The sequence below is a fragment of the Homo sapiens genome, chromosome 1 (genome assembly GCF_000001405.40).
Source record: "Homo sapiens chromosome 1, GRCh38.p14 Primary Assembly".
Taxonomy (NCBI): Eukaryota; Metazoa; Chordata; class Mammalia; order Primates; family Hominidae; genus Homo; species Homo sapiens.
In genome coordinates this window covers 143,906,912-143,934,791 of record NC_000001.11, presented here as the reverse complement: position 1 = coordinate 143,934,791, position 27,880 = coordinate 143,906,912, and the positions used below count along the sequence as shown (strand labels likewise).

Genomic DNA, 27,880 nt, shown 5'->3' with positions numbered 1-27,880 from the left:
GAGGAGAGGCATTTTTCCTGTTTCTCCTAGAACACAGCAGAACCACTTGGCAGGCCTGCTGAGCAGCAGCAGTGAAGTGTCAGGAAGGTGCCTCCTCCTGGCAGGCATGGCAGCAGTGACAGTAGCCAGGGGTCCTCCCCAAATATCTTGTCAAGAGAACGTGGGCATCTATGAGAGACCTCCTCTAGGCACCTAGAAATAACAGAGGAGATTCTGTGGTTATGCAGCCAGGAATCAATTGGTCAGCATATTCTTGTGCTGGCCTGTTACCCATGGGCATAGGTGGCCCTGGAACATTTAGCTTACATGTATGGGAGGACATTGAAGCCCAGAGAGTTTAGGTAACTTGCCCAAAGTCTTCTAGCAAATAAGTATTGAAGAAGCCAAACGTCCTACATCTTTGTAACTTTTTTTAAAATTAAAAAGTAAACTTTAATGTCAAAAATGCAAACTGTAACCTTTCAAATATGGCTCCCAAGAGGGATCATCAAGCAAAATCAGAAGACATGATTCCTTGAATATTTTTATGAAGCTGGACCTGAAAAGGATAGAGCATTGACAGATTCTGTGTTAAAATCAACTCCCCACAACAGGACATGTAAAGTCCCAGGAGGCCCATTAGGGGAAAGTGTCACAATTCCAGATTTTTTATGGCTGTGCTGTAGAAGAGGCCTTCCCCACCCACTCTACCAGTCAAGCTGGGACTCCTGCCTCTGCAGGTCACAGGGAAATCAAGCTCAATTAGACTTTCCCCCAGATTCATTCAGATCCAGATGTTATCAAGACCCAAAGATTAAATGCACCAGGCTTGATTCAGAAATCTCATAGATCACTCATTCAACCTGTCAACCAACAATCACCGAGTTTCAAGGTCTCAGGCACTGTCCTAGGCTTGAGAAGGATAAATAGATAAAACCTACTGGTTCTGCCTCAAGAATTTTACAGTCCAGTGAGGGAGGCAACACATAAATGGATATTTACAGCTCAGCAGTAAGTGCTATGAAGAGGGGAGCCCAGGACCATGAGATCCTAGAGGAAGGTCAGGTAATGAAAATTGGGGAGAGGTCATTAAAAAAAAAAATCTTTTGTTTTTTTTGAGATGTAGTTTCACTCTTGTTGCCCAGGCTGGGGTGCAATGGCGCAATCTCAGCTCACTGCAACCTCCAACTCCAGGGTTCAAACGATTCCCCTGCCTCAGCCTCTGAATAGCTGGGATTACAGGCGTGTGCCACTATGCCTGGCTAATTTTTGTATTTTTAGTAGAGACGGGGTTTCGCCATGTTGATCAGGTTGGTCTCGAACTCCTGACCTCAGGTGATCCACCCACCTCGGCCTCCCAAAGTTCTGGGATTACAGGCGTGAGCCACTGTGCTCAGCCAAAAAATTTTTTAAATTGTGTATACTTGAGGTTTACAGCACAATGTTATGGGATACATATAAATAGTAATATGGTTACAGTTATGAAGCAGATTAATGTTTCTATCATCTCAAATAGTTACTTTTTTGTGACAAGGGCAGCTAAAATCTACTTATTTAACACAAATTCCCAATATGATACAGTTTTTTTTAACTTTAGTCTTCATGTTGGACCTTAGATGTGGAGACTTTTCATATTTCGTATCCTTTGACTTACAGTGTCTCATTTCCTCTCCCCACCACCCAATCATGGTAACCACTGTTTCATTCTCTCTGTGTATTTGAGCCCTTTTTAAAATGCCATGTATAAGTGAGGTCATGCAATGTTTTTCTCTCTGTATCTGGATTATTCCACTTAGCCTAATGTCCTCCAAGTCCACCCATGTTGTGGCAAATGACAGGGTCTCCTTTTCTTTTTTTAAGACTGCATAATATTCCATTGTATGGGGGGAGCTACAAAAGGTTCACGGAAAAATGGAATTAAAAGATAAAAATTGAAAATATAAACTATTTCTCAACATAATCTCCATCAAGTTCAAGATGCTTTTGAAAGCAATGATACCAGCCATTTAGTCCATCTCTGAAGAACTGAGGGTCTTGGGAATTTAACCACATCAATGCAGTCGTTTTTACATTACTAACTGAAGAAAAATGGGTGTACCTTATAGGGTTTTTTTAAGAATAGGAAACCAAAAAATGTCAGAAGAAGCCAAATCAGGACTGTAAGGTGGATGCCTAATGATTTCCCAATGAAACTCTAAAAAGATTATCGTTGTTTGATGAGAGAAATGAGCAGGGACATTGCCATGGTGGAGAAGGACTCTATGGTGAAGCTTTCCCAGGGAATTTTCTGCTAAAGCTTTGGCTAACTTTCTCAAAACACTCTCATAATATGCAGATGTTACTGTTCTTTGGCCCTTCAGAATGCCAACAAGCAAAATGCCTTGAGCATCCCACAAAACTGTTGTCATGACCTTTTCTTTTGACCAATCCACTTTTGCTTTGACTCGACCATTTCCACCTCTTGGTGGCCATTGCTTTGGGCTTTGTCTTCAAGATCGTACCTGTAAAGCCATGTTTCATCTCCCATTACAATTGTTTTGCTTTAGGAGCTTGATGTCACTTCTTTAAAATTTGGATTGAAAGCTCTGCTCTTGCCTGCAGCTGATCTGGGTGCAACGGTTTTGGCACCCATTGCGTGGAAAGTTTATTCAACTTGAATTTTTCAGTCAGATTTACGTAAGTGGAACCAGTTGAGATGTCTCTGGTGTTGGCTATTGTTTTTGCTGTTAGTCATCAATTCTCTTCAATTAGGGCATGAACAAGATTAATTTTTCCCTTGAAAATTGATGTGGATGGTCTGCCACTATGGGCTTCATCTTCAACATTGCCTCATCTGTTTTTAAAACAAGTTATCCATTTGTAAACTGCTGATTTCTTTGGGGATTGTTTCCATAAACTTTTTGTAAAGAATCAGTGATTTGATCATTCTTTCACACAAGCTTCACCATACATTTGATGCTTGTTCTTGCTTCAATTTTAGCAGAATTCATGTTGCTCCGACAGGGGACTCTTTTCAAACTGATGTGTTGTCCTTAGTGTCTCTAACTAGATCCTGACCAGACATGTTATAAACAAGTTAGTACTAGTTTATTTTGTTGTGAACAATTTTGAAATCCATACACAGTGTTTTCTTTGTTTGTTTGTTTTTTTGTTTTTGTTTTTTTTTTTTTGAGACGGAGTCTTGCTCTGTCGCCCAGGCTGGAGTGCAGTGGAGCGAACTCGGCTCACTGCAAGCTCCGCCTCCCGGGTTCACGCCATTCTCCTGCCTCAGCCTCCGGAGTAGCTGGGACTACAGGCACTCGCCATCACGCCCGGCTAATTTTTTTTTGTATTTTTTAGTAGAGACATTGTTTCACCGTGTTAGCCAGGATAGTCTCGATCTCCTGACCTCATGATCCGCCCGCCTCGACCTCCCAAAGTGCTGAGATTACAGGCCTGAGCCACCGCGCCCGGCCACATAGTTTTTTTTTTTTTTTTATATAATACAGACTTTCCATGAACTTTTTGAAAATACCTTGTATGTACACCACAAAACCCATTTTCTTTATCCATCCTAAATGTCAATGGGCACTTAGTTTGTTTCCTTATCTTGGCTATTGTGAATAACATAACAATGAACAGGGGAGTGCAGACATGTTTACAAGGTGATGATTTCCTCTCCTTTGGGAATATACTCAGGAGAGGGATTGCTGCATCATATGGTAGTTCCATTTTTAATTTCTTTAGGAACCTCCATACTGTTTCCTATAATGACTGTACCAATCTACATTCCCACTAACAGTGTACTGTGGACCTGAAACCATAAAACTCCTAGAAGAGAACACAGGGGAAAAACCTCTCGACATTTGCCTTGACAATGATTGTTTTTTGAAACGGAATCTCTCGTTCTGTCACCCAGGCTGGAGTGCAGTGGCGCAATCTTGGTTCACTGCAACTTCTGCCTCCCGGGTTCAAGCAATTCTCCTGCCTCAGCCTCCCGAGTAGCTGGGACTACAGGCACGTGCCACCACGCCTGGCTAATTTTTGTATTTTTAGTAGAGATGGGGTTTCACCATGTTGGCCAGGCTGGTCTCGAACTATTGACCTCAAATGATCCACCCGCCTTGACCTCCCAAAGTGCTGAGATTACAGGTGTGAGCCACTGCGCCCGGCCTGATTTTTCTTTTTCTTAATATCACATCAGAAGCTCAGGCTACAAAAACAAAAATAAATAAAGGGACTACATCAAACTAAAAAATTCTGCACAGGAGAGGAAACAATCAACAAACTTGAAAAGCAACCTACGGACTAGGAAAATATAATTGCAAACCACATATCTGATAAGGAATTAATATCCAAAAAATATAAGGAACTCTTACAACTCAATAGCAGAAGAACAAATAACCCAATTTTAAAAATGGGCAAAGGGCTTTTCTGCCTCCATTGCCACCATGGCGCCCGCGAAAAAGCTTGTGGTGAAAGGGGGCAAAAAAGAAGCAGGTTCTGAAGTTCACTCTTGATTGCATCCACCCCATAGAAGATGGAATCATGGATGCCGCCATTCTACCAATTTTGAGCAGTTTTTGCAAGAGAGGATCAAAGTGAACAGAAAAGCTGTGAATCTTGGAGGAGTGGTGACCATCGAAAGGAGCAAGAGCAAGCTCACCGTAACACCGGAAGTGCCTTTTTCCAGAAGGTATTTGAAATATCTCACCAAAAAATATTTGAAGAACAATAATCTATGTGATTGGTTGTGCATAGTTGCTAACAGTAAAGAGAGTTATGAATTACGTTATTTCCAAATTAACCAGGACAAAGAAGAAGAGAAAGATGAGGATTAAATTTTATTTATCTGGAATATTTTGAATGAATTCTTGAATAAAACTTGGGAACCAAAAAGAATGGGCAAAGGATCTGAGCAGACATTTCTCCAAAGAAATGGGTCACACCAGCTCATTGCTGCAGCAGTGGTGGAGTAAAAAAGGTAGGTAAGGAACGTGAGCAGTATGTGGGAGGTGTCTCATGTACTTTACTAGGGAGCTTGAAGTCTTCCCTGAAGGTAATAAAAATCCAACAATGCAATAAAATTTATTTTTCAAGTTCACCCTGGCAGCACTATGGAGAAAAATTTAGAAAAGATTAAGATGAGAGCTAGGGTCTGTAGATTAGCTTTTAAGGGTTGTCTGTTATATGTAAAATTTTGTGCTTGTGTGACCATGTGATTCTTCTGTGGAGAGGTTCAGAGTTATTGTTGGATTCTCAAAGGGCTCCATGGCCCAAATAGAGGAGGGTGATCATTAAGGCATCTAATGCAACTGTGATGATGAGAACATGAACCAAGACTGTGGGTGTTACGGCCAGGTGTAACTGGCATTTCTCCAGGCATATCATCCTGAGGGTATGGTTGGGGTACAAAATGCTGCAAGCAGGATTATAGTCAAGCACTGCATAGTGACATTTCAGCCAAATGGACCACATATATGACGGGGTCCCAGAAGATTATCACGGAGCTGAAAAATTCCTGTAGCCTAATAACCATGTAGCTGTCATAAAGTCCTAGCACAATGCATTACTTATGTGTTTATGGTGATGCCCAGTATAAACAGATCCACTTGCTGCCAGTCATATAAGAGTCTAGCACATACAGTTATATACAGTACATAATACTTGAGAATGATAATAAATGACCATGTTACTGGTTTATGTATTTACTATATATTTTGTTGTTTTAGAGTGTACTCCTACTTATTGAAAAAAAAAAAGGTAACTGTTAAACAGCCTCTGGGAGGTCCTTCAGGAAGTATTCCAGAAGAAGGCATTGTAATCATAGGAGATGACAGCTCTATGCATGGTATTGTCCCTAAAGACCTCCGAGTGGGACAAGATGTGGAGGTGGAAGACAGTGATATTGATGATCCTGACCCTGTGTAGGCCTAAGCTAATGTGTGTCTTTGTGTCCTAGTTTTTAACAAAAAAAAAAAGAAAAAATTAAAAATTTAAGATAATAGAATAAAGCTTATAGAATAAAGATATAAACAGAGAAAATATTTTTGTACAGCTGTACAATGTGTTTGTGTTTAAGCTAAGTGTTATTACAAAAGAGTCAAAAAGTTTAAAAAATTATAAAGTTTATAAAGTAAAAAATTTACAGTAAGCTGAGATTAATTTCTTATTAAAGAAAAAAAATGTGTTAAATTTAGTGTAGCCTAAGTATAGAGTGTTTATAAAGTCCACAGTAGTGTATAGTAATGTCCTAGCCCTTCACATTCACTCACCACTCACTCACTGACTCACCCAGAACAGCGTTGAGTCCTGCAAACTCTATTTATGGTAAGTGCCCTATACAGGAGTATACGTTTTTATCTTTTATACTTAGTGGAAAAAACAAAAACTGTTGTTACTCTCCTCTCACATCACAACCACAAAAGACTCCTGAGACCAAATGTATGGCGGTTTCTTGCCACCACCAAGCAAGCAGTCGATTCTACAGACACGCTAGCTTGGTGTCCTCCAGTTCAATTCATTCTGATGCTCTCTACCTGGAGATAGTGTCAGATCATACAGTCCCCAAGACTGCCCCTACTTCACATACCTGTCAGAAGTCTGGACCTCTGGAACTTCTGACCAACTGGCTTTAAGTTGAGATTCCTACATCCTCCTCTTTTGACTCGATTAATTTGCCAGTGCTGTTCACAGCACTCAGGGAAACACATTTATATATTCTTTATAATACACAAAAAATGATATATTATAAAGAATACCACAAAGCATGCAGATGCAGAGACACACAGGGCGAGGTATGGGGAAGGGGCTCGGAGCTTCCATGCCCTGCTTGGGTGTGCCACTCTCCAGAAACCTCCATGTGCTCAGCTACCTGGAAATACTCTGTACCCAGTCCTCTTGTGCCTTTGTGGAGACTTCATTGGGTAGTCATGATTGACAATCATGCAGAAATGGGCAAGAAGGGTATGGTCTAATACTAATAGACTGAGTGGAGAAACCCAGCAAGGCCTGTCTGTTCAGATTCTTCTTGGCATCTCTGTGCAGCATTTGTTCTTCCTGGGTGTGGGGCAGGACTCCTTCTGAATTGGGGGTTCTTATGACCTACAGTCAGATAGGGTAGGTAAGAGAATTTCTTTATGGTCAGCTCCAAGAGAGGTGAGAGAAGAGTCCTGCCTTGGGGAGAAAAAGGAGGGCAGGAGGTGGTCGGAAGGCCAGAGAGACAGACATTCTGTTTTCTGAGGCCTGAAGCACCCCAACATTATATAACAAGGGCTATGGGAGTTATGAGTCAGGAGCTGCGGACGAAAGCCAATATGTATACCAAAATATCACATATACCATATTTTTACTGTACCTTTTCTATGTTTAGATATGTTTGGATACACAAATACTGACCATTGTATTACAATTGCCTACAGTATTCAGTACAGTAACATGCTATACGTGTTTGCCACCTGGGAGCAATAAGCAACGCCATACAGGCTAGGTGTGTAGTAGGCTCCACCATCTACATTTGTGTAAGCACATACTATAAGGTTCACACAATGACAAAATCACCTATCAATGCACTTCTCAGAATGCATTTTTAAGTGGTGCATCACTGTATTTGGGGACTTTCTCCTTCCGCACTTATATTGCTAGAGGGTGAGGAGAGGCAGAAGTCCCTAGGGTGTCTTTTAGCTGATGTCTTCCATTCTGTTTCCACGTAGCTCCTGACTTCGAAGGTGCTGTTTTGGTATCCTCTCTCCTCCTAACGTATCAGGCTGTCTGAAGCCATCACTGCCCCCGAAATCCACGAGCTACTGTTCTGTCCATCAGCCTCTATACCAAGGCCTGGCCTCAGGGAGCCACCCTCCACCATGAAAATTTTCCACCTCTTCTAGGTACATGGCAGCACTATTCTTGTGCCTCTATTATTTCATTCAAACAACAAATAATTGAGTGCCTACCAGGTATCAGGTACTATGTTTGGCACCAAACGACAGTGAACTACAGACATGGTCCCTACCCCATGGAAGTTATAGACTAGCAAAGGAAATTGCCTTGTAACCAAGCAATGACAATGCACACTGTAAATGCTGTGATGATGGGGGAAATACAGGATCTGTCGGAGCACAGAGGAATGACATCTAATGCAGACTTAGGAGATCAGAAAAGGCTTCCTGGGAGAAGTAAGATCTAATCTCAACCCTAAAGGTTAAATTTGAGTTAGCCAGATAAACAGAGAGAGAAAACCTGGCCCAGGGAATATACCTTTTTTTTTTTTTTAATTGAGACAGGGTCTCACTCTGTCCCCTAGGCTGGAGTATAGTGGCATGATCATGGCTCACTGCAGCTTTAACCTCCTGGGCTTAGGCAATCCTCCTGCCTTAACCTCTTGAGTAACTGGGACCATAGGCATGTGTCACTATGCCAGGCTAATTTTTTTAAATTATTATTTGTAGACACAGGATCTTGCTACATTGCCAGGGCTGGTCTTCAACTCCTGGGCTCAAGCAATCCGTACAATATGGCCTCCCAAAGTGCAGGGATTATAGGCATGAGCCACCATGCCTGGTCTGCAGCTTTTATTTTACTCATTTTATGCATTCTTCCCCTAATGGAAGCATAGTTCAAGGGGAAGAAGCCTGCCTTAGCGCTGTTGTTTCTAGGTGCAATTCACAGTATCCACTCCCCTCTAATCCTGTGTCCTCACTCCCCCACATCAGCTGGTACATCCTATCTCCCTCTCCTCAGGGTAAGGCCTTCCCCTGCAGCTAACACTGCTTTGGGGCTGGACCAGAATGAGACCTGCAGATACTTGGGTTGTATTTTCTTTAAATAGTTCCTCAGTGCCCTGTAGAAAAAGGATAAAGAGGAGGACCATCAGCTGCAAAGCCTCCAAAATCCAAGGGGCTTTAACTCTGGCCCCAAACTTACAACCTCTCTCCAAAACAACAGCCTCATAGTTCACTTGACTATCCTTTTTAGAAGGACCATCTGTTGTCATCCAGGCATACCCCTTGGGGTCTTACCTTCCACCCCCATCCCCAAGTGGCTCATCAAGGTATTTACTCCAACCCTATTGAGTACTCTCTGTGAGATTTCTGATTTAAAAAAATTTTCATCTTTGAAGTTCTATTTCCAGTGATATTTTAGTGCACTAGTCATGTTTTACCCCTCGTCATAGATTGACAGCAAAGGGAATTGTTCAGCTGGTTGGTCACCCCTTAATGTAGGTTCTCCTTGAGGAATTTGAGAAATGAAGAGGTTATAAAGCAGCACCCACATGTCCAACACTATACTCTTCCCACAGGTTCCTCTACTTGTGATATAATTAGCTCTCCCTGGTGGGTCCATCTCTCCCCTGCACCCAGACTGCACCCCACGCCACCCCCTACAGGCCTAGACCTGTCTGAATTAGTTGAGTAAGTATAGATGAGGCTTACATGCTGGTGCCTCAGTTGACTTGTAACCCAATAGAGAAGGGACAGGGATTTATGATTAAGAGGCCAGAGAGGAGGAGCTAACAGCTCCTGGGTTTTAAAATATCAACAATACTAATACTATAACATTCCATTGTAATGTTCTCTATAATGTTCAAAGATCTTCGAATCTTTTTTTTTTTTTTTTTTTAAGACAGGGTCTTGCTATGTTACCCAGGCTGGAGGGCAGTGGTGCAATCATGGCTCACTGCAACCTCGACCTCTAGGCTCAAGTGATTCTCCTGCCTCAGCCTCCTGTGTAGCTGGGACCACAGGCACCTGCCACCACACCCGGCTAATTTTCTGATTTTTTATAGAGACAAGGTCTCACTTTGTTGCCCAGGCTGGTCTCGAACTCTTGGCCTTAAGGGATCCTCCTGTCTTGGCACCCCAAGGTGCTGGGATTACAGGTACTCAATTTGGTGAGTGAAAGAAGTGAGGTCCTCTCAGCCTTTCCAGACACCATCTACACCACCACAGGCACTGGCTGCTTCAGGTTGGGGACCTTTTGAGGATGAGTCGTAGATAAGATGGGCTCCTTGCTAACATGTGTCATTCATTGCCTCAAAGGGTGTCTATTCAACAGCAGGAGCCTCCGCTTCTTCTTTTATTTTTTTTCTCAAAAAAAAAAGAGGGTCTCACTCTGACACCCAGACTAGAGTACAATGGCGAGATATCGACTCACCGCAACCTCCGCCTCCCAGGCTCAAGCGATTCTCCTGCCTCAGCCTCCCGAGTAGTTGGAATTACAGGCCTGCACCACCATGCCTGGCTAATTTTTTGTATTTTCAATAGAGATGGGGTTTCATCATGTTGGCCAGGCTGGTCTTGAACTCCTGACCTCAAATGATCCACCCGTCTTAGCCTCCCAAAGTGCTGGGATTATAAGCATTAGCCATCATGCCCGGCCCAGGAGCCTTTGCTTCTAACTCCTATAGGGCTGCTGAAAGATTAGTTCCCTGTTTTAGTATTTAATCTAGTCCCTTGTCTCCATTTTATGGGTTGGTAAAAGGAAAAGTAACAATCTCAACCGGCTGTTACTTTCCTTTAACTAAAAGGTTGCTGATTACAACTGGAATACTATATGCATTAAGATAAGGTCTCAACGGTTTCATTTCTACATGAACAAATAAGATTAAAAGGTTTCAGGTTGTTCTTTCTAAGCACCTTTAAGCAAACAATACATTGTGGTGTGTAAAGTCTCCATTCTCTGTAAATGAGAAGCCAAATCAGATAGGCCATTACAGGGTCCACCGGAGTCCCCTTGCACTTGAGTTTGTGGCACAGGTCCAGGGTTGCTGTTCAAACCTGCGTGGGACACTCTAGGGCCAGTGTGGATTTCTTGCGCAGGGAGTCCTCTGGTTTCTTGGGTTGGGTTAGTTCTCTGGTTTCTTGGGTTGGGTTAGTTTTACAGTTTTGTTGTGTTTTATTGCAGGACTGGGAGGCAGCCAGTCAAAATGGTCTCTAGCCATCTAATTGTTGATCAGTTCAAGCATGTAATACAATTTCAACATCAAACAGACAAAGATGAGGTGGAGGAGTGACTGATTAGATGATCTCAAGCAGCAGGGACAGTCCGGGATTAGCTACTGCCACTCCAGTTGTGACTGTGTCACAAGTAGATTCAGGAAGCAACAGGAAGTTGAGATTCACATACCTCCCAGAGAATAGTAAAACAGTGTTTCCTATCCAGTGGGTCATGATCCGTGACAGGTTTACCATGTTACCCTGGGGGCTTTACATCCTTAAAAGTGGAATTAATGTCTACTTTGTTTTTTTTTTTTTTTTTTTTTTTTTGAGACGGAGTCTCGCTCTGTCGCCCAGGCCGGACTGCGGACTGCAGTGGCGCAATCTCGGCTCACTGCAAGCTCCGCTTCCCGGGTTCACGCCATTCTCCTGCCTCAGCCTCCCCAGTAGCTGGGACTACAGGCGCCCGCCACCGCGCCCGGCTAATTTTTTGTATTTTTAGTAGAGACGGGGTTTCACCTTGTTAGCCAGGATGGTCTCGATCTCCTGACCTCATGATCCACCCGCCTCGGCCTCCCAAAGTGCTGGGATTACAGGCGTGAGCCACCGCGCCCGGCCGTCTACTTTGTTTTGTAAAAATCTGTAAAATACATTGGTTTCTCAAATACAAGATAGAAGAATCAAATATCAGGCCTTGAAAGTAGTTTTTTTCTTGTTATATCATGTAGTAAATTTCAATGTGTATTTTAATCTGAAAACCCCAAACCGAACACTATAGAATATGTCTTTTCAAGACTTATTTATTGATTAATCATCCTTTTTCATGCAATTAATTTAAAGTAAATTTGAGGAGCATGCATCATTTTTTGAATAGGGAGAAACATAAAACTGGCTCAGTGTTATAGTAAAGCATTAGAGTAAAATGAACATCATAAATGCAATCCTCGATCATGTAATGAATTAAAGAAAATATTTGTTTTTAAAATCATATGTTATTATATACTTTGTGTGATAGCATTTGTCATTCTTTTTTTTTTTCTAAGCTCTCTAGTTGCTTTGAATACTCTTTATATTTGGGACTCTCCCATCTAGTGAGTCTGCCTTTTGAAAATAGAGGCCAAATTTTCCCAGATTCCCTTGAAGTGAGGAAAAATTGTGGCACAGACTCCACCAATCAGTGCTCCTGCATGTGATTTCAGTGTGGAAGACTGAAGTCATGAAGACGGGGTCCTGAGGGAATCCATTCAGGTGACAGCAGAGAGGCAGCAAAGATACATCCAGTTTCCAGAGAGAATCAAGGCAGGGGCTTGGCATAGCATCCCTGCCCACTATTCGGCCTGTGTTGAGTGGCAGGGACAGCGGTAGCAGTATTGGTTCTGGCTGCTCAGCCTCTATGCTTGGTTTTCTGGTTGTGTCTCCTAGAGATTATGCTAATAGCCTTTTAATACAGTGGTCCTTCAACATTTTATGTGCGCACTCCCAAAACAAATGTAATGAAGCTGGCTTTCTAGAGTGTTCAGGTCATTACACAGTAGTTTACAGCTTAGGAACATTTTGTTCTACATAAGTAAATGTTCTACTGTTAAAAATGTAGTTTAATCTATCTTGTGGAAATAAATAGCAAAAGGAAAGGCAGGTGTTGAAGCTCTGGTAAGTGTGCTGATTACAAAAGATACAGTAATTATTATTTAAGTGCATTATTTTCAGTTGAATTCACAACATATCTCCATTGAATTAATCTAAATCTAGTAAGTACATACTTTGAATGACTAAACCCACAAAGTGGTTGATGAGGAACAGCAGGAGAATGTGTCCAAGTAAAAACTGAGTATGGTTTTATGACATCAATAAGCTTTTGGCCAAAATTAATGACAATTTTTTTACAAGTCTAAAGGAGCATTTATGGAAATATAGAATGCCACTACCTACTTTCAATTGCTTTTGCTAACTTGAAGATATAATGTTGATCTGTTGGAAGTAAATGTGTGACCTCACCTTCTCTTTGAAGTAATGCAAAATAGGCAGGGCATAGTGGCTCACACCTGTAATCCTAGCATTTTGGGAGGCTAAGGCAGGAGGATTGCTTGCGCCCAGGAGTTTGAGGCCAGGAGTTTGCAACATAGCTAGACCCCATTTCAAAAAAAAATAAAATAAAATACAGTAAAATAAAAATGTAACAATGCAAAATACTCAGCTGACACATGGGTGAACACAAGTGAAATTTTATAGCATGTTGTTATTCTCTGACATGCTTCAGACAAAATTTAAATATCTTAATTCTAAGATGGATAAAAAGACAGGAAGGAAAGGAGGCAGGGAGGTGGATAAGGCACAGAGTCTTGTCATAAGTTTGTCTCCAGGATGGAATGAGCTCTGATAAGTTCTGTATTTTGTACTGAGCCTCTCTACTTTGCCCTCTCAGAACTCTCCTATAGTAGCAATGCATTATTTGATCATAATTAGGCAATGCAAAAGGCAAGACCCTTCAACAAAATTTGCCATAACTCCTGCCACTTCACTCCTCAATGTACATGAATTCAGGATGTCCCCAAATACCTTGTTTCTATATTATGCTGCACCCTTATCAAAAATATAAAGACAAAAACATGTAGCCTTAGTGTAGGATTACAATTTCTTGACTAAAGGAGGCTTCCATATATTGAGTTGTTCTACAATATTATGCTGCAGGTAATTACACCCCAATGGAATGCCCCATAATTAAATTCAGGAAGCCTTAAACATGTGATAATCATTTATTCATTCATTCATTTTTAATAAAATGGAGAATGGGAATTGTGAAAGAGGAGGTGGAAATGATGAGACAGTATGACACCTTGACCTCACATATGCAATAAGACATATTAATTTTAAGAAACAGGCTGGGCGCAGAGGCTCACGCCTGTAATTCTAGCACTTTGGGAGGCCAAGGTGGGCGCATCATGAGGTCAGAAATTAGAGACAAGCCTGGCCAACATGGTGAAACCCTGTCTCTACTAAAAATACAAAAAAATTAGCTGGGTGTGGTGGCACACGCCTGTAGTCCCAGCTACTTGGGAGGCTGAGGCAGAAGAATTGCTTGAACCCGGGAGGCGGAGGTTGCAGTGAGCTGAGATTGCGCCATTGCACTCCAGCACTCCAGCCTGGGCAATAGAGGGAGACTCCGTCTCGAAAAAAAAAAAAAAAAAAAAAAAGGCTGGGCACGGTGGCTCACACCTGTAATCCCAGCACTTTGGGAGGACAAGGCAGGCGGATCATGAGGTCAGGAGATCGAGACCATCCTGGCTAACATGGCGAAACCCCGTCTCTACTAAAAAAAAAAAAAAAAAAAAAAAAATTAGCCGGGCATGGTGGCGGGCGCCTCTAGTCCCAGCTACTCAGGAGGCTGAGGCAGGAGAATGGCGTGAACCCGGGAGGCGGTGCTTGCAGTGAGCTGAGATCGCACCACTGCACTCCAGCCTAGGCAACAGAGCAAGACTCCGTATCAAAAAAAAAAAAAGAAAGAAAGAAAAAAAAATTGGTGATTTAGGCATTTGGAGAATGCATGCAATAAAGGAGCTTCTGGCCTGAGGAGCTATGGGGTTGATGTTAGGTTTCAGTAACATGGAGAATGCAGAGAGAAGAAATTGCTTTTATTTTTGTTTTTGTTTTTTTGAGAGAGTCTCTCTCAGTTGCCCAGGCTGGAGTGCAGTGGCGAGATCTCTGCTCACTGCAACCTCCGCCTCTCAGGTTCAAGCAATTCTCCTGCCTCAGCCTCCCAAGTAGCTGGGATCATAGGCACCTGCCACCACACCCAGCTAATTTTTTGTATTTTTAGTAGAGACGGGGTTTCACCATGTTGGCTGGGCTGGTCTCGAACTCCTGACTTCAAGTTATTCACCCACCTCGGCCTCCCAAAGTGCTGGGATTACAGGCATCAGCCACCACGCCCAGGCAGAAATTGCTTTTGAAAGCAAAAAGATGCATAAAGTCCCTCCCAACATTAAAAATTGAGATTCCTGTTCTCTACCTAGGAGAACACTTCCACCAGTTGTTATTACTCTCATCAGTAAAGGGTCTCAGCTGGAGAAACTTGTGAGTAAGCCCTCAGCAAATCGATAAGGAAAACGAGAGGCAGGGAATTTGATGAGATCTTCCCAGGGGTTAGGGAGAAAAGAAGAGGACTGAGACAGGCACCCTGGGCAAGCAGGAACATTGATGGGAGTTGGTAGATTAGGAGAATACCAAGAGACAGAGGATAGCTGGAAAGGGATGAGGACCACCAGAAGAGAGTATGTCCCAAGGAGGCAAAGGAGGTGTCAACAGGGTCATATTGGGCACTGAAGTTCAGAAATAATGATTATAACTTAACATTCCTTAAGCTCAGTGACTGCTGACTATGCTTGATATTTTATGTCTTACACATCACCACAACAATCCTGCAAGGAAGGCAGATGTTTTGTCATTCTCACTTTACAGACTAGGAAGCTTTGAGTATTTTGCCCAAGTTCCCCAAACTATTAAGTGTCAGGGCCAGGGACTTTGTCCAAAGTGCTAGGTCTTCCAAAGTTCATGTGCTTGGGCAGAAAACAGCCACCGAGAAGCTTGTACTGGAAACTCAGAGAGGAAATGACAGGAGGCATTGTGACACACAGGGTTGAGGGCCTCACTGCTTCTCCTGACTTCTCTACCTTTTCAGACAGCATTCTGCTCAGGTTCTAACAAGCTTACCCTCTCCTACCTGTTTTAGCAGTTCCTCCCAGATTCATTTATCCTTCCAGTTCCCCGTGAAATTCTGAGTGCCGTCAGAATGAGCATTTTGCCTTGTTCATCTCTCCAAGTCAGCATCCTGGAGCATAGCAGATGATCAGGAAATGCCTGATTGCCCTAATTCCACTGGCCTCTGAATTCTCACTCAAAAGGGCATAATACCCAGGCCCCTCCTAGGTTTCAAAGAATTCTCAGGAATTTGCAGGCCAGAAGCAAGTATAGCCTGGACTCTGGAAGGAACTTCCTCCAGGTTGGCCCGAGAAGAGGGAGAGGTAGCTGCCCTGAGCTGTACCCCTTGCCTACAAGTTGCTACAGTCCACCATCAGGATAGTTGTGTAGCCTTAGCTGAAGGCAGAGTTCCCCTCAGTGCTCGAAGATAAATACTTTAGAAAGGAATGCACATTTGTGGTAGACTGAATAATAGCCCCACAGAGATATCCACATCCCAATCCTTGGACTCTGTGAATATGTTACCTTATATGGCAAAGGGACTTTGCAAATGTGAACAAATTAAGGACCTTGAGATAAAGAACTTATCCTGGATTATTGAGATGAGCCCTTAATATAATCACATGAATCCTTAGAGAGACGAGAGGGTCAATCAGGGAGAAGGGGGTGTGATGACAGAAGCAGACATTAGAGTGATCTGTCCAGGTGCTAAAAAATGCCAGTTTCTAGAAGCTGGAAGAGTCAAAAAGTGGATTATATACCTGGAGCCTCCAGAACAAACCAGTCCTTCAGACATTTGTTTTAGCCCCTTAAAACTTATGTTGGGCTTCTGACCTCCAGAATGATAAGAGAATAAATTTGTGTGGTTTTTTTCGTTTTGTTTGGTTTCATGTTTTTTTTTTTTTTTGAGACAGAGTTTCGCTCTTGTTGCCCAGTCTGGAGTGCAATGGCGTGATGTCGGCTCACTGCATCCTCTGCCTCCCAGGTTCAAGCAATTCTCCCGCCTTAGCTTCCTGAGTAGCTGGGATTACAGGCACGCGTCACCACACCCGACTAATTTTTGTGTTTTTAGTAGAGACGGGTTTTCACCATGTTGGTCAGGCTGGTCTCGAACTCCTGACCTCAGGTGATCCACCCGCCTTGGCCTCCCAAAGTGCTGGGATTACAGGCATGAGCCACCACACCCGGCAAATTTGTGTTGTTTTAAACCACTAAGTTTATGGTAACTTATTAATGCAACACTAGGAAATGAATACACCGTTCTTACAAAAGTCACTAGGCTCTTTTTATTTGACAGGGGCGGGGGGGCGGGGGGAGATCTGAGTGTCATCAGGAGCAGAGTATAAGGTATACTTGGAGGGAAAGAGGAAAGGAAGTGGGCAGCAGAGGTACAAAGGAGATCAGGAATGGGAAGTCGGGGGCCCCACAGTGAACCTTTCCTTACGGCTGACTAGGCTCCTTCATGGGCCTGACCAGCCTCCTTCACCTGCTCAGCCCAGAATTTGTAGAGAGATCTGTCGTCTTTGCAAGTGGCACTGAGCTCTCCTAGACAATTGCTGGCCTCCCCCAGCCATGGACCTCTGTAGAGCTCCCTGGGGTCATCCAGGGCAGGAGGGTGACAGGCTGGCTTCACCGTGGTCATATAGCAGAAGTGGCAAGCTCTTCTTGCTCTTGAGGAAAGCTCACACCTAGATTGTTGCAAGGATGTTGTACAGGTTGAGCACCCCTAATCTGAAGATCCGAAACCCTAGGCTCCAAAATCTGAACAATTTTGAGCACTAATGTGGTGCCTCGGTGGAAAATTCCACACCTGACCTCACACAACGGGTCATACAATGCACAGTATTTCCCCCAAGGAAATAAAAGGCCCTCCCAGCCCCTTTCCGCTGAGATATATCTTTTCTGCACATGCCCGGTTTCCCCAACGTGCACACACCCACAAAGGGTCATAAAATGGCATGTGTGCAGGCCAGTGTCGTCAACAGCACGTTCCCCATAATGCCCCATGTAGGAGCCAAGACCTACGTGCCTTACTCACTGTGGGGTTTTTTTGCTTATTCTCTGCTCTGTGGTATAAAGATATTGTTGAAAATATCAAAAAGGTTGGCCGGGCGCGGTGGCTCACGCCTGTAATCCCAGCACTTTGGGAGGCCGAGGCGGGCGGATCACGAGGTCAGGAGATCGAGACCATCCCGGCTAAAACGGTGAAACCCCGTCTCTACTAAAAATACAAAAAATTAGCCGGGCGTAGTGGCGGGCGCCTGTAGTCCCAGCTACTTGGGAGGCTGAGGCAGGAGAATGGCGTGAACCCGGGAGGCGGAGCTTGCAGTGAGCCGAGATTGCGCCACTGCACTCCAGCCTGGGTGACAGAGCGAGACTCCGTCTCAAAAAAAAAAAAAAAAAAGAAAATATCAAAAAGGCCTGCAGATACCCCATGAGTAACAGTGATTTTAAAAGAGAAAAAGCAAGGCCAGGCGCGGTGGCTCATGCCTGAAATCCCGGCAATTTGGGAGGCCGAGGCGGCTGGATCACTTGAGGTCAGGAGTTCAAGACCAGCCTAACCAACATGGTGAAACCCCGTCTCTACTAAAAATACAAAAATTAGCCAGGCGTGGTGGCACATGCCTGTAGTCCCAGCTACTCGGGAGGCTGAGGCAGAAGACTCACTTGAATCCAGGAGGTTGCAGTGACCCGAGATTGTGCCATTGCACTCCAGCCTGGGCGACAGAGCAAGACTCTGTCTCAAAAGAAAAAAAAAAAAAAAAAAGGGAGAGAAAACATTTATGTTTATCTATAGTACAGAAAGTCAAGTTGTTGGAGAAAATGGGGCACAGTGTAAGTGTGTATAAGGTATTTATGAAACATAGATGGATTTTGTGTTTAGTCTTGGGTCCCATCCCCAATATATCTCATTATATATATGCAAATATTCCAAAATCTGAAACCCGAAACAGTCCCAGTCCCAAGCATTTCAGATAAGGGATACTCAACCTGTGTTAGTTTCCTAGGGCTGCCATAGCAAATGACCACAAACTTGGTAGCTTAAAACAACAGAACTGTATTCTTCCACAGTTCTGGAGACCAGAAGTCTGAAATAAAGTACCATGCTCCCTCTAAAGGCTCTCAGGGAGAATCCTTCCTTGCTTCTTTCAGCTTCTGGTGGCTTCTGATGTTCCTTGGCTTGTGGCAGCCTCATTCCAATCTCTCCCTCCATCTTCACATGGCTTCTTACTCATCTCTGTGTGTCCGAATTTCCCTCTCCTTTCTCTTATAAAGATACCAGTCATTGAATTTAAGGCCCATCCTATATCCAGCATGATTTCATCTCAAGATCCTTAACTACTTACGTCTTCAAAGCCCCAGTTTCCAAATGCGTTCACATTTTGAGATGCTGGATAGACACGAACTTTAGGGAACATATTCAACCCACTACAGGTCCTGAGCACTAAGCCTTGTGGGAGGACACTCTGGAAGCAGGTCCAGACTTCCCCAGTCTTGCCTCTTCAGAACCTGCGCACTCTCCACCTCCAAAAGGCCCTTCTATCAGTCACTTACACCTGAGTATAAAACTAAGCATGATAGCGGTGCAATTTTGACCAACCCTCCCGTGTTCATGAGTGTAGGTGTTGGGGAACAGGCTGTGTCTCCACTTGGGGAACTCACAGCTTCAGGGGCAGGACAGGAAGATGTTGGTGGTCCTTGGCCAGATGCTTCCTATAATAATGAAAAGCCTGAATGGTTGGGCAGCTGGCAGACTGTGGCCTGCATTTACTTGCCTGGGAAAAGCTGGAAGGAAAGAAGACATGAGGCTAAAATAGAGGCTCAGTGTCTTAGTTTCAATATCTGTAAAACAGTAACAATAAATACACATACCTCATAGGATTCGTGCAGGGATAAATTGCTATACAGTCCATACAAAGTACTTAGAGCAGAGTCTCAACATGACAATAAATTAATAGTTATTAGCAATTTCATTATTTTTATGATAAACGTTACTTGATATATATCCTAGATCTTTCCCTTGGAAATATTACCATCATGCTGGGAAATAAGACAAGCACATGGAAAATAATGGGTAAATTATCCAGTCTCTAGATGCTAATTATGTAGAGATTCTTCTAGACTATGTGGCCAAGGCAGCAGAAATAATTGGGTTCCTAGGAGCTTTATAACTCACAAAAACCTTTCACTAACAGCCTCTCGTTTGAGTCCACAACAACCCTGGAAAGAAGAAAAGGCTTTTTCCCTATTTTAAAGATAAGGAAGTTTCTGGTAAAGATTAGACACCGGGGAACGTGAGTTACTCGGCTAAAACATGGCCAAGGTGGAATTTGAGCCTAGGTTTTGTGTTTTGCTTTTCTTTTTTTGTATTAGATTTGATGCTTTAGGAGAAAGTGATACATGGAATAGATACAAATAATATCAATATGTGTACAGTACAGCCCACTCTCCTGACCTCAAGTCTACAGTAAGAAATACATTTACATTGGCCGGGCGCTGGGGCTCATGCCTATAATCCCAGCATTTTGGGAGGCCGAGGCGGGCAGATCACGAGGTCAGGAGATCGAGACCATCCTGGTTAACACGGTGAAAACCCGTCTCTACTAAAAATACAAAAAATAAAAATAAAAAAAGTAGCCAGGCATGGGTGGCGGGCGCCTGTAGTCCCAGCTACTCGGGAGGCTGAGGCAGGAGAATGGCGTGAACCCGGGAGGTGGAGCTTGCAGTGAGCCAAGATCTGCCACTGCACTCCAGCCTGGGCGACAGAGTGAGACTCCGTCTCAAAAACAAGAAAAAAGAAATACATTTACATTGCCTCCCAGTCACATTCACAGGAAAATAAAAATTGCAACAAGTTTCACAAAATGATAATTACTATTGGTGATATTTTCCCGTTTTATGATTCTTACAAAAGGGCAAAATGAAAGGAAAAGATGATCTCTACCAAGTAAATTAATTGCACTATGGATTACAACTTATAGTTGTGGTTTTTTGGGAGGTTTTTTTGTTTTTGTTTTTCTGGATTTTTTTTTTTTTTTTTTTTTTTTTTTGAGATGGAGTCTCGCTCTATCGCCCAGGCTGGAGTGCAGTGGCGCAATCTCAGCTCACTGCAAGCTCTGCCTTCTGGGTTCAAGGGATTCTCCTGCATCAGCCTCCTGAGTATCTGGGACTACAGGCATGCGGCACCACCCCTGGCCAATTTTTGTATTTTTTGGTAGAGACAGGGTTTCATCATATTGGCCAGGCTGGTCTTGAACTCCTGACCTCAGGTAATCCACCCGCCTCCGCCTCCCAAAGTGCTGGGATTACAGGTGTGAGTGACCGCGCCCGGCCTACAATTTACAGTTTTTAAAACTGGCTAGAGAAAACTACAAAGAAGAAAGTTAAAATCATCCGACTGATTTTAAAAGTCTTCATATTTCTTCTGAATCTTTCTGTGTATGCACATACAACCTGTCTGTCTTTGTGAGGAGGTGACCCCCATATCCAGAGCCAGAGTGGAAGGTATCCTGTGACAGATGGTGACTTGAAATGTAGGTTGAGGCCTGGTGCGGTCGCTCACGCCTGTAATCCCAGCACTTCGGGAGGCCAAGGGGGGCGGATCCCCTGAGGTCAGGAGTTTGAGACCAGTCTGGCCAACATGGTGAAACCCCGTCTCTACTAAAAATACAAAAAGTAGTCTGGCATGGTGGCAGGCACCTGTAATCCCAGCTACTCGGGAGGCTGAGGCAGGAGAATCACTTGAACCCGGGAGGCGGACTTTGCAGTGAGCCAAGATCGTGCCATTGCACTCCAGCCTCGGGGACAAGAGCAAGACTTCGTCTCAAAAAAATAATAAATAAATAAATAAATAAATAAATAATACATGCAGGTTGAGCTTTGTGGGAGCCAAGAGGGAAAGGCCAAGGCCAGCTGAGCAAATAAAGGAACCCTTCCAGGAGGAGGTGATATCTGAGCTTGGTTCTAAAGAATATTTAGGATTCGGGACATGTTTAGATTGGGGGTTTGGAGAAGATGATGTAATCCAGGCAAGAGGGGACAGCAAAAACAAAGACAGAAGAATTGTTCCTGGACCACATGCAGCATAGGCAAAGGTCAGTCATGAGAAGTAAGCTTTAGCAATGGGGGCCGGTTTAGGGGACCCCAAATGCCAAAGTAGGGAGGGAGTGCTCTATAAACAATGTTGGAGCAAAGGATATGAACAGGCAATACACAGGAGAAGAAATCCGAAAACTATCAAGCTCAGGTAGAGATGCTTGAACTCATGAATACCCAGAACAATGAAAACGAAAGCAATGCTGAGATACCACTTTACACCAGGCAGTCTGGCAAAACTTAGAAAGTTGGATGACCCGAGGATTGGGCCTGGATGTGGGCTCAGAGTCCAGCTACCTTGGTATTGGAAGTCCGGGACAAGCATTCTGGAGGGGAGGCTGACACTCCTTAGTTCAATTAGATATAAATAAAAACTCTGAACAGAACTGCTGGTTTCTGGCTTCTCAGCAGTTCTGTTCCTGAGTTTTTATCCAAAAGAAATTCTTATATAGGTCCAAAAGGGAATATATACAACAATGTTCATTGCAGCATTTCTGGTGGTGATGGAGAATTGGCACAAGCCTAGTTGTCCATTGCTGGGAAAGTGGGGAGATAAAATGTGGTGTTGGAGCAACATGAAGTTTAATGCAGATTGACCTCATCTCTACAAAAAAATAAAATATTAGCCAGGCACAGTGGCATGCGCCTGTGGTCCCAATTGCTTGGGAGGCTGAAGTGGGAGGATCACTTGAGCCTGGGAGATTGAGGCTGCAGTGAGCTATGATCATGCCACTGCACTCCAGCCTAGGGGACAGAATGAGACCCAGTCTCTAAAAAAAAAGAACATGGATGGCAAAGAGATGCAGGTTGGGTTCTATAAGGGTTGAAAATAAAAGGTAATTTTTTTGGGAAATCAATATGAAGTTTATTTAGGTTTCTTGTTTTTCCTGTTTTCCCTGTGAGCCAGATGACTGCCAATTATCCCAAAATTTATATTATCAAAAATGGATACCTGCTTCCTAGCATTTGGAAAAATAAAATAATATGCCCCTGACATGAATTAATGAATTACCCCTCTAATTACAAAGTACAGAATTCTCTCTTTTTTTTTTTTTTTTTTTTTTTTTTTGAGACAGAGTCTCGCTCTGTCTCCCAGGCTGGAGTGCAGTGGGATGATCTCGGCTCACTGCAACCTCCGCCTCCCTGGTTCAAGGGATTCTCCTGCCTCAGCCTCCTGGGTAGCTGGGATTACAGGCACGTGCCACCACGCCCGGCTAATTTTTGTAGTTTTAGTAGAGACAGGGTTTCACCATGTTAGTCAAGCTGGTCTCGAACTCCTGACCTCGTGATCTGCGCGCCTCGGCCTTCCAAAGTGCTGGGATTACAAGCGTGAGCCACGATGCCCGGCCTGGTTTTTTGTTTTTTTTTTTTTTTTTTGTCGTTGTTGTTGTTTTGTATGTTTGTTCGTTTTTAACTTTTATTTTAGGTTCAGGGGTACATGGAAGAGTTCAATTTTTAAAATATAGATTAGGCCAGGCGCGGTGTCTCATGCCTGTAATCCCAGCACTTGGGAAGGCCGAGGCCGGCAGATTACGAGGTCAGGAGATCAAGACCAGCCTGGCCAACATGGTGAAACCTCGTCTCTACTAAAAATACAAAAATTAGCCAGGCGTAGTGGCGCGCGCCTATAGTCCCAGCTACTCAGGAGGCTGAGGCAGGAAAATGAGGCAGGAGAATCGCTTGAACCCGGGAGACAGAGGTTGCAGTGAGCTGAGATCACACCACTGCACTCCACCCTGGGGACAGAGCGAGAGTCCGTCTCAAAAAAATAAAAAATAAATAAAATAAAATATAGATTAAAGGGGGGGAAAATAAGAAATAAAGTAAGATATAAAACACATTACCACTAACATGCACTTCGAGAAGCAGAAATTCGCTAGGACTGAGAAAATCAAAACCTGTTCTGCCATTCATTAGGCTGCACTAACAGAGATAAAGCTAGACTAGAAATGACAGAAAACATTCTTTTCCCAAGGGCATGCTACAGCTATAAAGGCTCATAACTCCCCTCTTTGAGTGACCACTCCTTTCTTATTCACTGAGGAACTTGTACTCAAAATCACAGACTATCAGAACTTTGGCTGCTTGAAATCCTATCAATCAGTAACAATGCAGTATCCCCCTCCTGTCTGGAGGACCTAAGCCACCTTGACACAAAAAACCAGCAGTAATTTTCAACCCAGGTGCAAAAACTTCAAGTAAGGGGTTTCTGAACACAGCATTCCACCTCTATCTCAACTTTGTAGTTTCTGAGGAAACAAGACCCTGGATCCACTTCAAAGTCCCATCCTATGCCTACCCTTTCACACAGCCCTGCTTTGCTTTGAGCCTATGAAAACTACACTCCACTCGTCCCCCAAAATCAATGATAACTCTAATTTTCCTCTTGTTTGGTGAGCACCCTCCTCCCACCACCCTGCCACCAGTTTCTCTGTTGTGTGTTCTCCCTCATTGTAACAAGTCAACAGACTTGGCTTAGGTAGACTAAGTAGTGGTCTTGGGCTAATTGGGATAGGTTGAGTTTTTACTTAGAATTAACATAACTCATTTCAGCATTCCTACGTTGTCGGAGGTGGTTTTGTTTTGTTTTTAAGACAGGGTCTCTGTTGCCCAGGCTGGAGTGCAGTGGTGTGATCATAACTCACTGCAGACTGCAGCCTCAATCTCCCAGGCTCATGCGATCCTCCCACCTCAGCCTCCCAAGTAGCTCAGACTACAGGCGCGCACCACCACGCCCAGCTAATTTTTATATTTTTTGTAGAGACAGGGTTTTGCCATGTTGTCAGGCTGGTCTCCAACTCCCAACAAACTTGCCCGCCTCGGGCTCCCAGATGCTGGAATTACAAGCATGGGCCACTACACCCCGGCTCTTGGTTGTTTCTAATCTTTTAAATTACTATCAATGTTGCATCAACATCTTACTTATTTGATATTAGTAGTGTAGTATAGTGACTAAAGGAAGACTCTGGAGTTGAAATCTGGTTTGGCACCGACTGTGTGACTATGAGAAAGTTTCTTAACCTCTCTGTGATTCCTCCATCTCCCAATCTGTAAATGGACATACTTATACTACCTACTTGACAGGGTTTTGTGAGGATAAAATGAGTTAATACATGTAAAGTGTTTAAAACATTCTTGGCACCAAGAAAAAGTATGTAAGTGTTAGAAAAAAATATGCATATATAGGCCGGGCGTGGTGGCTCACGCCTGTAATCCTAGCACTTTGCGAGGCCTAGGCGGGTGGATTGCCTGAGCTCAGGAGTTCGAGACCAGCCTGGGCAACACAGTGAAACCTTGTCTCTACTAAAATCCAAAAAATTAGCCGGGCATGACAGTGTGCACTTGTAACACCCCAGCGTTGGCAACAGATACCTTCTTCTCCCTTGGCTGCTTCAGGGTAGAGAAGAAACACGCTTGCCCCTTTCTGACTCTGTCATAACTCTTGCAGAATGTATCACAGTATTTTACATCTTTCTTTCTTTTTGAGGCAGAGTCTCGTACTGTCACCCAGGCTGGAGTGCAGTGGCGCGACCTGGGCTCACTTGAAGCTCCGCCTCCCAGGTTAATGCCATTCTCCTGCCTCAGCCTCCCGAGTAGCTGGGACTACAGGCGCCCGCCACCACGCCCGGCTAATTTTTTTTAAAAAAATATTTTCAGTGGAGACGGGGTTTCACCGTGTTAGCCAGGATCGTCTCTATCTTCTGACCTCGTGATCTCCCGGCCTAGGCCTCCCAAAGAGCTGGGATTACAGGCGTGAGCCACCGCGCCCGGCCTATTTTACATCTCTTTACATCTTAGTACTTCTTCGTCTTGGCTGTTTGTTCCTTACTGGCAGTGATTTTTTTTGGGGGGGTGGGGTGCGGGGGACGGATTCTCCCTCTGTGGTCCAGGCTGGAGTGCAGTGGAGCGATGTCAGCTCACTGCAACCTCTGCCTCCCGGGTTCAAATGATCTTGTCTCAGCCTCTGGAGTAGCTGGGATTATAGGCGTGGTCCACCTCCCCCACCCCTGTTTAACATATAATCAAGAAATAACCATAAAAATGGGCAACCAGCAGCCCTCAGGGCTGTTCTCTCTATGGAGTAGTCATTCTTTTATTCCTCTACTTTCCTAGTAAACTTGTTTTCACTTTATGGACTGGCCCTGAATTCCTTCTTGCCGGATATCCAAGAACCCTCTCTAGGGGTCTGGATCGGGACCCCTTTCCTGTAACACATATTCCAGTGGAATACGTTACATAATAAAGGCAGAAATTGTAAAAAATTTGAGCTTACAGTACAGGTAGTAAGTATCAGGGACCAGTAGAAAGGAGAAGGGTGCCAAGTTTTATCAAATGAGCAAGATATTTAAGGAATGAGTTTATCTCATAATGGGGTAAGGAAAAAAGCTGAGACTCTCATGGCTTCTTCAACTTGGTCCAGGGCTGCAGACCATTCAAGAGAAATTCAAATCAGGCATAGGGCTTCATCAACCCACAAACCAATTCAGCCGGTCTCAGCTTATGATACTTATAACCCTGAGGATACTTGAAGCCAAAAAATGAAACATAAATTATCTTATTGGAACATCTATGTTAACTTAGTCCGTTACTTTTGTATTAAAAGTAAACACATGTACATACAAAACATTATGTGCCTAATAATTCATTTATTAATATTTTCTTTTGCCTGCTTATTTCTTGTTAGGTAAATTTTAATCTTCTCTTGTCTATTCCCCCGTGCTACCTAATGAAATTTCTGTTCTCAGTATTCAAGCTGCACAGCCTTATAATTTCTGCTGAAGGACACTTCAAAAATTTTAGGAGGAATATTCCGTCTTTGTTACAACTGAAGAAAAGCAGAGCTTCTTTTGCACCATAAAGCTGCTTCTGATATAGTGGTGGATTGAGACCTTTCACAGAAATGTCACTCTAGTGTCCAATGTGGGGACTAGGTGAAATTGAACTAACAATTGATCTGAATTCTGTTATTAAAGATGACTTTTAAGGCAACTATACATCTGATTGTTTTATTCTGAGAAATGATACCTATAGCCATTAAAGTCTGATTGAATGCCATTTTCTTATTTAAATGAACACATCCTACATTATGGTCAAGACTGCATACATCATAGAGAAAGTATATTGCAAAGAAAAGTGATGCTTGGGTGGGCTGCTTTGGGCTATCATCCAGATTCCATGGGGTAGTTTTCCCTTCTAATGGGAATAGTTGGGTGTAGATGTTTGAGAAATACTAGATGATGTGATTGCATGATGGGAAAACGCTTTTGTGCTTTAAACTGTGTTGGCTGGGTGTGTGGGGCTCATGCCTGTAACCCAAGCACTTTGGGAGGCCGAGGAGGGTGGATCACCTGAGGTCAGGAGTTCGAGACCAGCCTGACCAATATGGTGAAAACCTGTCTCTACTAAAAATACAAATAAATAAATAAATTAGCTGGGGGTGGTGGCTTGCGCCTATAGTCCCAGCTGCTCAGGAGGCTGAGACAGGAGAATTGCTTGAACACAGGAGGCGGAGGCTGCAGTGAGCAGAGATCCTACCACTGCACTCCAGCCTGGGTGACAGAGTGAGACTCCATCTCAAATGAAAAAAAAAAAAGGTATCCTCTAAGCCTAATGAAATAGAAAGTTTCATCATTACCGTTTCATTCTTTTGCTTTAGAATATTACACAGGCTTTGTTACTTACCCAGGACAAGCCATAATTTCTCTGAGACTCAGTTTTCTTATCTGTAAAGTGAGAAGAGTAAGATCTATTTCACAGAGTAGGGATTAAATGATAAAGTGTATGTAGAAGAACTTTAAACACTGAGTAGTGCCTGCTGTCTGTAAGGCATTATTACAAAACTACCACAGAGAGGGATAACATTTGTTCACATCAGTTACACTTTTGTACATTTTAGATCTCTCGAGAGGAGGATGCTTCTGCCCATGAGAGACTCTTGAAGATATTAATTAAGCTCACAGATTTCTACTTTGTGTTTAGTGTTCAGGAAGTCCCCTTGAAATCACTTTTACTTTACTTTGACTTCAGTAGGAAGATAGTTCATAATGACACCATCAAAGTAAGTTTTAAGCGTTTCGGGCCTGCTTTTCTCAGGTTTGAGTTTTTATAGTTTGTAATGATTTTTTTAGTAAAATAAGCATATGATTAAAAGTTTTATATTAACTACTACAACTTTTAAGTATCAGTTGCTTCTACAT

General features: G+C 43.3%; 1 long non-coding RNA gene and 1 pseudogene across 1 annotated transcript; one reads left to right on the top strand and one right to left on the bottom strand.

Moving 5' to 3' along the window:
• Positions 1 to 27,406, bottom strand: LOC105371209 (uncharacterized). The gene is made up of 2 exons (XR_922028.2): positions 27,366 to 27,406; positions 1 to 192 (listed from the first exon to the last, which is right to left on the bottom strand). It is a non-coding gene; the product is annotated as an uncharacterized LOC105371209 (long non-coding RNA).
• RPL22P5 (ribosomal protein L22 pseudogene 5) lies at positions 4,390 to 4,856 on the top strand (annotated as a pseudogene).
• Positions 27,407 to 27,880: the final 474 nt, after the last annotated feature.